Here is a 13,682-nt window from a genome sequence, read left to right on the forward strand (position 1 = left end):
TTATTAATTTAGCTTTTAGTAATCTTGCCTAAAAAGATTACCAAACACCAGCTAACTTCATTTTAGTAATTTCATTTTAAATGACTTTCTTCAAAGGCCCAGAATGCCAAGGGAGTATAAAACCTTGGAGGGATACATAAGAATCAAGAGGCCAGGTGTGGTGGTTCACACTTATAATCTCAACAATTTGGGAGGCCAAGGCGGGAGGATTGCCCAAGCCCAGGAGCTTGAGACCCATGTGGGCAACACAGTGCGACCCTGTCTCTACAAAAATTTAAAAATCAGCACATGTGTATTACCAGCTACTCCAGCAGCTGAGGTGGGAGGGTTACTTGGGCCCAGGAGGCTGAGGGTACAGTGAGCTGTGACTGCACCACTGCACTCCAGCCTGGGCAACAAAGCGAGACCTTGTCTCAAAAAGATAAAACATAAATAAATAAAAGAATCAGGATGGCGCTCCTTCTTCTGTACCCATTTGTCTCCACAAATATTTCTGTAACTATCTGCAAGTCGTGTCACTCCCACTATACCACACCTATCACCGTGCCCACCTAGAAAGGGCACAGAATAAATGCCTGTTAATAAAGAATGCATGGAATCACTCATTTTGAAAATGAGGGGAGAGATTCTATAGAAGAGTATGTCTCCAAATCCAGGTATAGGAGGAAGTGCTCAAATTCCAGAGTGCCAAATGATCATTCTGCTCTGAAAACATCCTAGAACCCAGTTAGCTACCTGAAGTTCTGGATATAGGTGTAATCCTCTTCTTTCTGTAGTAGATGTGATTTCACAATTGTATCTCGCAGTCCAAACTTCTGCATGGATAAAATATGAGCCTTGTCCGACACTGTGATAGTGGAGGAGCGAACCATGTCAGTAATTTCGGACTTGGATTTATTCTGTCTGGAAAAACAGAAGTATTTTTTTCATATGTGGATGAGTCCCCATGGCAAAATGAATGAATACAAAGCTAAAAGTTCCCCTATACAAGCATCTAAGTCACAGAAGACTAAAGGAGGCCAAAGTAAAATTTATCTACTAAAACAACACTATTTCTATGTGGAATTAAGTAAATTTATATTTTGTTGATTGTATAATATGTTGGTCTGGAGATTTTCCTAATAATAGAGTCACAGAATCTCAGACCAGAGGGGCATCTTAAAGATAATCTAATTCCCTCAGTTCTAAATGAGAAAAATGAAACCCAGTGTCATTAACGCCTCACCCACATGAATGGTGGCAGAGTATGGGATTCAATCATGTAATTGACAAGCCGGGCATGGTGACTCATGCCTGTAATCCCAGCACTTTGGAAGGCCAAGGGAGGCAACTCACTTGAGGCCAGGAGTTCGAGATCAGCCTGGCCAACATGGCAAAATCCCATCTCTACCAAAAATACAAAAATGAGCTGGGTGTGGTGGCACATGCCTATAATCCCAGCTCCTCGGGAGGCTGAGACACAAGAACCACTTGAACCTGGGAGACGGAGGCTGCAGTGACTGGGTGACAAAGTGAGACTCTGTCTCAAAAGAAAAAAAAAGAAAAAAACTGTAAAACCCTCTAGGTCCTTTAACTTGATCATTCTATTCTGTACATCTATTCCACAGGAATAATCCAAAATAAAAAGAAAGGCAATGAGAATTTATATTTTATTATTATTTGCATTGTACTGTATTTATAGTCGTAACTAAAATACTGATACAAGTAAGTGTTTTATCTTGACCAGACAGATTCTGGAGATATTCAGTAGGGGGCACTGGAGTACAGACTTCAGATATTTATATAATAACACACCTCAGGGGCGAGTCAGGAAAGAGTAAATAAAACAGGAAAAAAAGTCACTTCAGAGTCAGGAAACACCTAAAAGAATGAAAGAGTGAAATCAAACGTTTCTAATCTACATTTTCAAGGGAGGGCTAGACTGCCAGTTCCAAATCCTAGATTGACCACTTGATAATTCTGGGACCTTGGGTGAGTTATATAACTTCTCATTACCTGAGTTTCCCTAACTGTAAAACAGAAAAAAGTACTTACCTCTTAGGCTAAAATAAGATAGTCCAAATAAGAGCAGGGTGCCTGGCAGTAAGTGCAAATAAATGTCAGGTATTATTAAGAACATTTCCAGCCAGGCACGGTGGCTCATGCCTGTAATCCCAGCACTTTGGGAAGCCAAGATGGGAGGATCAGATGAGGTCACAAGTTCGAGACCAGCCTGACCAACATGGAGAAAACCCATCTCTATTAAAAATACAAAATTAGCCAGGTGTGGTGGCACATTCCTGTAATCCCAGCTACTCAAGAAAGCTGAGGCAGGAGAATCACTTGAACCCAGGAGGTGGAGGTTGCGGTGAGCCGAGATCATGCCACTGAACTCCAGCCTGGGCAGTAAGAGCGAAACTCTGTCTCAAAAAAAAAAAAAAAGGACACTTCCTAGGCCAGCTACCCTGGGACAACTTACATTATACCCAAAATGGTCTCAGTACTGTGAGGAGAACCTCAGTCCTACAAGGGACAAGTGAAGGGAGAGTTGCATTACCTTGGTTGCAAGCTTTCTGGTTTATCTTGACCCCTGGAGCTTTGGTCCATAGGCACTCCCTTCCCATTTGGTCTCAAACCATCAAAGTTAGAACCACCTAAAGGGAAGGAGAAGAAATTAAAATATACATACATAGGCTGGACATGGTGGCTCATGCCTGTAATCCCAGCACTTTGGGAGGCCAAGGTAGGTGGATCACCTGAGGTCGGGAGTTCGAGACCAGCCTGACCAACATGGAGAAACCCCGTCTCTACTAAAAATACAAAATTAGCCAGGCATGGTGGTGCATGCCTGTAATCCCAATTACTCGGGAGGCTGAGGCAGGAGAATCGCTTGAACCCGGGAGGCGGAGGTTGCAGTGAGCCAAGATCGTGCCGTTGCACTCCAGCCTGGGCAACAAGAGCAAAACTCCATCTCAAAAACAAACAAACAAACAAATAAATAAATAAATGAAACATACATATGCTTTAATATACAGACAACAGCTTCGGAAATTGTAGTCTAGGAATTATTGGTAGTCCACATATTGCTTCAAAGGGCCTATGCTGATGTCTGGGTGAAGTCCCACAGACCATACACAGAAGGAGAAAAAAGTATCTCATCCAGGTATCTTTACTGCTGAAAGTGTAACTATTCCAGCTAGTCTAACTCCCTTTTCTTGGATAAAGGGTACATTAAGGAAAGAATAAAACCATGAAATCTGAAAACCTGAGTTTTATCACCTGCTTTATTATTTATTACCTCCTGACTTTGGAAAAGCCATCTAACCTCTCTCAATCTCAGTAATTTGACCTGTCCTGCCTTCTTCACAGGTTTAATGTAGGGTCAACTGAGTTGACATATGAGTAGGCACTTTAAAAGCAATACAACATATTATAAAACATAACATAGCGACTTCCACTCTGAAGAGGAGAAAGGCAAGGGTCAGAGATTAAAACTGGAAATAGTCTAAGAGCTCTAGAAAATGAGAAGCGCTTGTCATTGTTGACAAATTGCCTTGAAAACCAAAGAGCCCAAGGGCCCAACCCAGAAATATTTTGGGAAAGTCGTTAAACCAAGATAAACCTGGAAAGGAAAATTAATCTGCCAATAGCTTCTCTGCTCTTTAAAAGCCAGATCTCTTGTCAACAGGGAACAACATGAAGCGGTCACAGAGAGATGTGATTTTAAAACCCAAGTTATGGGAAGGAGCTCTGGAGGAATGAAACACCACTGAAGAATTTTGCTGCGAAGACTATTACTAAACATGGATTTCTCAACCATGCATTCACATGAACCAGAAAAAAACTTTTGAAAAAAGAAAGCATAATCATTTGAACATGAAAATAATTACACCTCAATGCCTCCAATCAATCACCAAATGCTATAGACTGATTATTTATACCCCTGCCCAAAGTCATATGTTGAAATCCTAACCCCCAAGATAACATACTAGGAGTTGGGGCCTTTAGGTGTGAGGTGTTTAGGTCACAAGGGTGGAGCCCTCATGATTGGGATTAGTGCCCTTATAAGGGTTGAGGAGACTAGAGTTCCCCTTTTGCTATGTGAGAACACAGTGAAAAAAGACAGCTGCCACTAAGCCAGAAAGCAGGCCCTCACCAGACATTGAATCTGCCAGCACCTTGATCTTGGACTTCTCAGCCTCCAAAACTGTGAAAAATAAATCTCTGATCTCTGCTTTTGTTTTGTGGTGTTTTTCCTGTATGTTTTTTTATTATTTTCTTTTTCTTTTTTTTTTTTTTTTTTTTTTTTTGGGACAGGGTCTCCAGGCTGGAGTACAGCAGCCTGATCATGGTTCACTGTAGCCTTGACCTCCAGGGCTCATGTGATCCTCCCACCTCAGGCTCTCTGGTAGCTGGGATTAACAGGCACAAGCCACCATGCCCAGCTAACTTTTTGTATTTTTTTGTAGAGATGGAGTTTTGCCATGTTTCCCAGGCTGGTCTCGAACTCTTGAGCTCAAATGATCCTCCTGCCTTAGCCTCTCAAAGTGCTGGGATTACAGGTGTGAGCCATCACACCCAGCCAAATCTCTGTTGCTTATAAACCACTCAGTCTATGGTATTTTGTTATAACAGCCTACAGACTAAGGCTAAAAACTAAGACACCAAAGCCTTTCAATTTTGCTTCCTAAATGCCTCTCAAACCAATATATTCCTATCCCCAGTGTCACTGTGCTAGTCTAGGTTACCAACATCTCCCCTGAATGACTATAAAAGCCTCAACTAGTTTCCCTGCCTCTTTTCTCACCCCACCCTCTCCAACCCAGTTTCTACACTGTGGCCAGAGGATTTTTTAAAAAGTAAATCGGATCACATCACTTTAAATCTTTTAAAGGCTTCATACTGGATAAACCCAAATCCATACATACAATTGCCAAGGCTCTTCCCAGTCTGGATCCTACCCACTGCTCTAGCCCCAATACTCACCACAGTCCTTCAGCCCCTACCTCCTTGATGCCATGCTCTAAGCATATTAAGGTTACTGCAGCTATGCAAAGATCCCGTCAGAAAGCAACTTCCCTCTTCTTCATTCTGCTTTATAAGGCTAACTCCTACCCATCCTGTGCCAGGGGTCAGTAAACTTTTTCTGTAAAGGGCCACAGAGTAAATATCCTAGGCTTTGCAGGTCATACAGTCTCTTGCAACTGTTCAACTCTGCTGCTATAGTGCAAAAGCAGCTGTGAGTGTGGCTGCATTCTAACGAAATGTTATTTAAAGATGCTCAAATTTGAATATCATACAATTTTCACATATCACAAAGCATTATTCTCTTGAATCTTTTCAAACATTTAAAAATGCAAAAAATCATTCTTAGCTCATGAGCTGTACCAAAGCAGATGGCAGGCTGGATTTGGCCTATAGGCTGCACTTCACCAACTCCTGCTATAGGCCATATCTTAGAGGTCATTTCCTCCAAGAAGACTTCTCTAACCTCTCCTAGGCTGGTTAGATGCCCTGACATTGGTGTTTCCATAGCTCCCTGTACTCCCCATCACAGTCTTGATTGCTGTGTACTGTAGGTGTTTTTTCTTCCCAGTTAGACTGTAAGCTTACTGAGGACTAGACTTTGTCTGATTTATGCATCACTGTATCCCCATCATTCAGCATACCACCCAGCACATTATAGGCAGTACAGTCACACAATTCAATATTAAATGCGCAATGAACCTGAATCCCCATGCGTCTATGTTTTTCTTTTTTCTTTTTTTTTTTTTTTTTTGAGACAGGGTCTCGCTCTGTTGCCCAGGCTGGAGTGCAGTGGCGCAAGCTTGGCTCTTTGCAACCTCTGCCTCCCGGGTTCAAGCTATTCTCCTGCCTCAGCCTCCCGAGTAGCTGGGATTAGAGACACGCAACACCACACTCAAGTAATTTTTGTATTTTTGGTAGAGACGGGTTTTGCCATGTTGGCCAGGCTGGTCTCAAACTCCTGACGTCAGGTCTCCCAGTGCTGGGATTACGGGCATGAGCCACTATACCCGGCCCCTGTGTGCCTTATATGTTTAAATACGTAACATCCAAGTTCAAGTCTGTAGCATTCTTTTGGAATGTTTCAGGTAATCTTCCCATTGTCTCCAAAATATAACAAAAATAAGAAAGGAGAACTAGAATGGGTTATGTCTAGAGTTCTACTAACCCATAGTTACTTAATAATTATTTCTAGAAATGCAATCCCCAGCTGGATTCTACTTCTCTTTCTTTACTCTCACTGAGCTATAATAAAGCTTAGAGAGCTAAGGTATTTGAGTTAGTAATGGTGTATTGGGGACATCTGTTAGAATGACTGAAATTTAAAAAAAAGAAAACCAGCTGACAATTCCAATTGCTGACAAGGATGCAGAGGAGCCATGACTCTCATCCATTGATAGTAGGCATGGAAAATCATACAGACACTTTGGAAGACAGCTTGGCAGTTTCTTAAAAAGTTAAACAGTCTTACCATATGTTCTACCCATGACACTCCTAGATATTTACTGATCTGAAAGTATGCTGGGTGCACCATGGCTTGTGCCTATAGTCCCAGCTATTCGGGAGGCTGAGGCAGGAGGACTGCTTGAGCCCAGGAGTTTGAGATCAGCTTGGACAATAGAGACCCCTATCTCTTAAAAAATAATAAAATCCCTCTCCCTCTCCCCCTCCCCCTCCCTCTCTCTCTCCCCACAGTCTCCCTCTCCCTCTCTTTCCACGGTCTCCCTCTGATGCCGAGCCGAAGCTGGACGGTACTGCTGCCATCTCGGCTCACTGCAACCTCCCTGCCTGATTCTCCTGCCTCAGCTTGCCGAGTGCCTGCGATTGCAGGCGCGCGCCGCCACGCCTGACTGGTTTTCGTATTTTTTTGGTGGAGACGGGGATTCGCTGTGTTGGCCGGGCTGGTCTCCAGCTCCTAACCGCGAGTGATCCGCCAGCCTCGGCCTCCTGAGGTGCCGGGATTGCAGACGGAGTCTCGTTCACTCAGTGCTCAATGGTGCCCAGGCTGGAGTGCAGTGGCGTGATCTCGGCTCGCTACAACCTCCACCTCCCAGCAGCCTGCCTTGGCCTCCCAAAGTGCTGAGATTGCAGCCTCTGCCCGGCCACCACCCCGTCTGGGAAGTGAGGAGCGTCTCCGCCTGGCCGCCCATCGTCTGGGATGTGAGGAGCCCCTCTGCCTGGCTGCCCAGTCTGGAAAGTGAGGAGCGTCTCTGCCCGGCCGCCATCCCATCTAGGAAGTGAGGAGCGCCTCTTCCCGGCCGCCATCACATCTGGGAAGTGAGGAGCGTCTCTGCCCGGCCGCCCATCGTCTGAGATGTGGGGAGCACCTCTGCCCTGCCGCCCCGTCCGGGATGTGAGGAGCGTCTCTGCCCGGCCGCCCCGTCTGAGAAGTGAGGAGACCCTCTGCCTGGCAACCGCCCCGTCTGAGAAGTGAGGAGCCCCTCCGCCCGGCAGCCGCCCCGTCTGAGAAGTGAGGAGACCCTCTGCCTGGCAACCGCCCCGTCTGAGAAGTGAGGAGCCCCTCCGCCCGGCAGCCGCCCCGTCTGAGAAGTGAGGAGCGTCTCCGCCCGGCAGCCACCTCGTCCGGGAGGGAGGTGGGGGGGTCAGCCCCCCGCCCGGCCAGCTGCCCCGTCCGGGAGGGAGGTGGGGGGATCAGCCCCCCGCCCGGCCAGCCGCCCCGTCCGGCAGGTGAGGGGCGCCTCTGCCCGGCCGCCCCTACTGGGAACTGAGGAGCCCCTCTGCCCGGCCAGCCGCTCCGTCCGGGAAGGAGGTGGGGGGGTCAGCCCCCCGCCCGGCCAGCCGCCCCGTCCGGGAGGTGAGGGGCGCCTCTGCCCGGCCGCCCCTACTGGGAAGTGAGGAGCCCCTCTGCCCGGCCAGCCGCCCCGTCCGGGAGGGAGGTGGGGGAGTCAGCCCCCCGCCCGGCCAGCCGCCCCGTCCCGGAGGGAGGGAGGTGGGGGGGTCAGCCCCCTGCCCGGCCAGCCGCCCTGTCCGGGAGGTGAGGGGCGCCTCTGCCTAGCCGCCCCTACGGGGAAGTGAGGAGCCCCTCTGCCCGGCCAGCCGCCCCATCCGGGAAGTGAGGGGCGCTCTGCCCAGCCGCCCCTACTGGGAAGTGAGGAGCCACTCTGCCCGGCCAGCCGCCCCGTCCGGGAGGGAGGTGGGGGGGTCAGCCCCCCGCCCGGCCAGCCGCCCCGTCCGGGAGGTGAGGGGCACCTCTGCCCGGCTGCCCCTACTGGGAAGTGAGGAGCCCCTCTGCCCGGCCAGCCGCCCCGTCCAGGAGGGAGGTCGGGGGGGTCAGACCCCCGTCCGGCCAGCCGCCCTGTCCGGGAGGTGAGGGGCGCCTCTGCCTGGCCGCGCCTACTGGGAAGTGAGGAGCCCCTCTGCCCGGCCACCACCCCGTCTGGGAGGTGTACCCAACAGCTCATTGAGAACGGGCCATGATGACAATGGCGGTTTTGTGGAATAGAAAGGGGGGGAAGGTGGGGAAAAGATTGAGAAATCGGATGGTTGCCGTGTCTGTGTAGAAAGAGGTAGACATGGGAGACTTTTCATTTTGTTCTGTACTAAGAAAAATTCTTCTGCCTTGGGATCCTGTTGATCGGTGACCTTACCCCCAACCCTGTGCTCTCTGAAACATGCGCTGTATCCACTCAGGGTTGAATGGATTAAGGGCGGTGCAAGATGTGCTTTGTTAAACAGATGCTTGAAGGCAGCATGCTCCTTAAGAGTCATCACCACTCCCTAATCTCAAGTACCCAGGGACACAAACACTGCGGAAGGCCGAAGGGTCCTCTGCCTAGGAAAACCAGAGACCTTTGTTCACTTGTTTATCTGCTGACCTTCCCTCCACTATTGTCCTGTGACCCTGCCAAATCCCCCTCTGCGAGAAACACCCAAGAATGATCAATTAAAAATAATGATAATAATAATAATAAAATAAAATTAAATAAAAATAAAAATAAAATAAGATAAAAGTAGTGGCACATGCCCATAGTCCTAGCTACTTGGGAGGCTGGGGAGGGATGGTTACTTGAGCCCAGGAGTTCAAGGCTGCAGTGAGGTGTGATCTTGTCACTGCACTCCAGCCTGGGTGACAGAGGGAGATCCCACCTCTAAAAAATATGGCAAGAAAAATAATTTTTGTACACATAAAAACCTGCACAGAAAAGTTTATAGCAGCGTTAAAATCACCAAAAACTGGAAGCAACCAAGATATATTTCAACAGATGAATAAACTGTGATACATCCATATAATAAAATATTAAGCAATTAGAAAAATTAGTTATCAAGCCATGAAAATACATGAATGAATCTTAAATGCATATTGCTGAGTGAAGGAAGTCCATCTGAAAAGGCTATTTATTATATGATTCCAATTACACAACATTCTGGATAAGACAAAACTATAGAGACGGTAAACAGATCAATGGTTGCCAGGGGTTTTGGGGGTGAGGGTGGGGTCAAATAAATGAAGAACAGGGGACTTTTTAGGACAGCAAAACTATACTCAAAAGAAACTATAATGGTGATACATGGTAGTATCTATAGCTTTCAAAACCCACAGATTTTTACAACACAAAGAATGAAACTGGGCTGGGCACGGTGGCGCACGCCTGTAATCCCAGCACTTTGGGAGGCCGAGGCGGGTGGATCACGAGGTCAGGAAATCGAGACTATCCTGACTAACACGGTGAAACCCCATCTCTACTAAAAATACAAATATTTAGCCGGGAGCGGTGGCAGGCACCTGTAGTCCCAGCTACTCGGGAGGCTGAGGCAGGAGAATGGTGTGAACCCAGGAGGTGGAGCTTGCAGTGAGCCGAGATCGCGCCACTGCACTCTGGCCTGGGCGAAAGGTGAGACTCTGTCTCAAAAAAAAAAAAAGAATGAACCTTAATGTATACAAAATTTTAAAAAATCATTTAGGACGTCAGGAGATTCTGGAGTAAAATGCAGAAAATGACAAAAGTGTCTAACCTATATCACAAAGGTATGAAACCACCTCATTGAAGGGAGTAGGGGAAAAAGTGTTTACCTAAGTAACTTTAGAAATGAGTGGTATCTATAAGACTAAAGGCACCAGGAGCAGTGGCTCACGTCTGTAATCCCAGTACTCTGGAAGGCTGAGGCAGGCGGATCCCCTGAGGTCGGGAGGTCGAGACTAACCTGACCAACATGGAGAAACCCCATCTCTACCAAAAATGCAAAATTAGCCAGGTGTGGTGGCGCATGCCTGTAATCCCAGCTACTTGGGAGGCTGAGGCAAGAGAATCGCTTGAACCCGAGAGGCGGAGGTTGCAGTGAGCCGAGATCGCGCCATTGCACTCCAGCCTGGGCAACAAGAGTGAAACTGTCAAAAAAAAAAAAAAAAAGACTAAAGGCAAGTGGAACTGTACAGAAGCATTGTACTCTAGTTGATAATGGTGTTCCATGGGGGTCCTGATTAACAATTCTGAGGCCAGACGCAGTGGCTCACACCTGTAATCCCAACACCACTTTGGGAGGCCGAGGTGGGCAAATCACCTGAGGTTGGGAGTTCGAGACCAGCCTGACCAACATGGAGAAACCCCGTCTCTACTTAAAATACAAAATAGCCAGCCGTGGTAGCACATGCCTGTAATCCCAGCTACTCAGGAAGGTGAGGCAAGAAAATCGCTTGAACCTGGGAGGCAGAGGTTGCGGTGAGCCGAGATCGCACCATTGCTCTCCAGCCTGGGCAACAAGAGCGAAACTCTGCCTCAAAATAATAATAATAATAATTTTCTCAAGGTACCTCTAGGCCAAAAGGAATCCCTAACAGTTCTACTTAAGTAGTTAGGGCCAAATAAGTATTTAAGTCCTAACAACTTAGTAGCAATTTGAAAAAATAATACACATAAAAAGATTTCCATTTCATCTTTTTTTTTTTTTTTTATGGAGTCTTGCTCTGTCGCCCAGGCTGAAGTGCAGCGGCACGATCTCGGCTCACTGAAGCTTCGCCTGCCGGGTTCACGCCATTCTCCTGCCTCAGCCTCCCGAGTATCCGGGACTACAGGAGTCCGCCACCACACCCAGCTAATTTCTTTGTATTTTTAGTAGAGACGGGGTTTCACCGTGTTAGCCGGGATGATCTCGGTCTCCTGACTTCATGATCCGCCCGCCTTGGCCTCCCAGAGTGCTAGGATTACAGGCGTGAGCCACTGTGCCCGGCTGAACTACGTTCCACTGGAAGTTTGTCTGGTGTTCCCACAGATCTCCATGTTTACCTTGAATTTTTTTTTTTTTTTTTTTTTTGAGACAGCGTCTCACTCACTCTGTCACCCAGGCTAGAGTGCAGTGGGGCAATCTCAGCTCACTGCAGCCTCTGCCTCCTGGGTTCAAGCAATTCTCGTGCTTCAGCCTCCTGCGTAGCTGGGACTACAGGCAGATGCCACCACACCCAGCTAATTTTTGTTTTCGGTTTTTTTTTTTTGAGACAGAGTCTCTCTTGTCACCCAGGATGGAGTGCAATGGTGCGATCTCAACTCACTGCAACCTCCGCCTCCAAGGTTCAAGCGATTCTCCTGCCTCAGCCTCCTGAGTAGCTGGGATTACAGGCACGTGCCACCACACACAGCTAATTTTTGTATTTTTAGTAGAGACGGGGTTTCACAATGTTGGTCAGGCTGGTCTTGAACTCCTGACTTCATGATCCGCCCGCCTCAGCCTCTCAAAGTGCCGGGATTACAGGCGTGAGCCACTGCGCCCGGCTGAACTACTTTCAACTGGAAGTTTGTCTGGTGTTCCCACAGATCTCCATGTTTACTTTGAATTTTTCTTTTTTTTTTTCTTTTTTTTTTTTGAGACAGAGTCTCACTCACTCTGTCACCCAGGCCAGAGTACAGTGGGGTAATCTCAGCTCACTGCAGCCTCTGCCACCTGGGTTCAAGCAATTCTCATACCTCAGCCTCCCGTGTAGCTGGGACTACAGGTAGATGCCACCACACCCAGCTAATTTTTGTTTTCGGTTTTTGTTTGTTTTTTTTTTGAGACAGAGTCTCTCTCTTGTCACCCAGGATGAAGTACAATGGCACGATCTCAACTCATTGCAACCTCTGCCTCCAAGGTTCAAGCGATTCTCCTGCCTCAGCCTCCTGAGTAGCTGGGATTACAGGCATGCGCCACCACACACAGCTAATTTTTGTATTTTTCGTAGAGATGGGATTTCACAATGTTGGTCAGGCTGGTCTCGAACTCCTGACTTGGTGATCCGCCTGCCTCGGCCTCTCAAAGTGCCGGGATTACAGGCATGAGCCACCACGCCCGACCTGATATTAAATCTTATATTTATTCATTATTATTGGATGCCATTTCCACTAAATCGTGAGCTCTGCGAGGCAGGGACTTGGTCTTCTTTCTTCTGCTTCCTTGCCCAGTGCACAGCAGGCACTCTATGTATTAAGTACAGCAAAGTATCAGGAAATGTCAGCTGACGTCCAGCTCTACTACTATCTTCCTGTGTGACATGAGAAGTCACTTCTGCTCTTTGGGTCTCGGTTTCTTCATCTATAAAGTGGGGATTTTAAATATCAAAATTTCAGGGGCCTTTACCATATGGAAAGGCACCTGCACTTTTCAAACTAAGGAGTTATGAGGAAGTGCTCTGCTTCTGCATGTCAGTGGTTTCTAATGACTCTCTCAGGATGTTTCTTTAGGTACTTCCTAGCAGACTGAAAGGTCATCTCCTAAGGGCTGACAGTTTGTGGATTCAGTTCACGGCCAGGGGTACATAGCGTACTGATGGGAAAATGGCCCTGCATCTTGTCGATGTCTTCTCACAGGGGGTCTCTCAGGACAGTCCAGCAAGGACCAGAACATCTTCACTCATTACACTACCTATGGAAACTTTAAGGCATGATGTGGGGGATTTCCAGCCACAGGGCGGTCTTCTCGGAATCTCCTCTCTAGAACCTGGCACGGAAGCTGGCTGTCAGAGCAGCTCTTGACCAGATTTGCCATTACACAGCCCCATAGTTCCCCCTCTGGCCACAGCTTCCTGTCTTTTCTCCTCTCCTGCTTCCCTACTCCCACTCTGCCCTTTTTTTAACCTCAGACCTCCAATCTTTTTGTCACCCAATCTAATAGGTGACAATAGATATTTTTCCTTTTTTCCCCATGTTCGGTCACCAAGTCTTATGAATCCTCTATTAAATTTTTTTTTTTTGAGGCAGAGTCTTACTCTGTTGCCCAGGTTGGAGTGTGGTGGCGTGATCTCAGCTCACGGCTCCTCTGTGTCCTGAGTTGAAGCGATTCTCCTGCCTCAGCCTCTCAAGAAAGCTGGGATCACAGGCATGCACCACCACGCCCAGCTAATTTTTGTATTTTTAGTAGAAACGGGGTTTCACCATGTTGGCCATGGTGCTCTCAAACTCCTGACCACAAGTGATCCACCCACCTTGGCCTCCCAAAGTGCTAGGATTACAGGCGTGAGCCACCTCACCCAGCCTCTCTTAAATATTTTTATATCTGACTGTCTTCTCTATCCCTACTGTCATGCCTTAGTTTAGGCCCTTAATGTTTCTGGAAAGCCCACTTAATGATTTCCCTACCTCCATTTTCACCTCCTCCAATTCCATTCTGCCAACACCTAGAAGAAAACACAAATCTGGGTGGGCACAGTGGCTCATGCCTGTAATCCCAAGGCTTTGAGAAGCTGAGGCAGG

The 13,682-nt window shown here is 47.6% G+C and overlaps 1 protein-coding gene across 21 annotated transcripts in view, besides 1 other annotated feature; it reads right to left on the bottom strand.

Moving 5' to 3' along the window:
• INPP5B (inositol polyphosphate-5-phosphatase B) overlaps window positions 1-13,682 on the bottom strand; it is an 86,361-nt gene that overhangs the window by 28,125 nt on the left and 44,554 nt on the right. For 18 of the 21 annotated variants that reach the window (NR_158630.1, NR_158628.1, NR_158631.1 and 15 more), the window contains 2 exons: window positions 2,537-2,633; window positions 736-903 (listed from right to left, as the gene is read on the bottom strand). Coding sequence is in view for 13 of the 21 variants with exons in the window: in NM_001365825.1 (NP_001352754.1) it covers window positions 736-903; window positions 2,537-2,633 (265 nt within the window). In the remaining 8 variants the exon portion in view is untranslated. Of the gene's footprint in view, window positions 1-735; window positions 904-1,794; window positions 1,861-2,536; window positions 2,634-13,682 lie in introns of all 21 variants that reach the window. The other 3 variants (NM_001350228.1, NR_158629.1, NM_001350227.2) reach the window with 3 other exon arrangements.
• Window positions 12,772-13,011: an enhancer, noted in NCBI's record as "active region_777". NCBI's record gives its function as "activates an Ori minimal core promoter by ATAC-STARR-seq in GM12878 lymphoblastoid cells {active_cell/tissue: GM12878}" and the evidence as "EXISTENCE:reporter gene assay evidence [ECO:0000049][PMID:35858748]".

Source organism: Homo sapiens, chromosome 1 (assembly GCF_000001405.40).
Source record: "Homo sapiens chromosome 1, GRCh38.p14 Primary Assembly".
Lineage (NCBI taxonomy): Eukaryota > Metazoa > Chordata > Mammalia > Primates > Hominidae > Homo > Homo sapiens.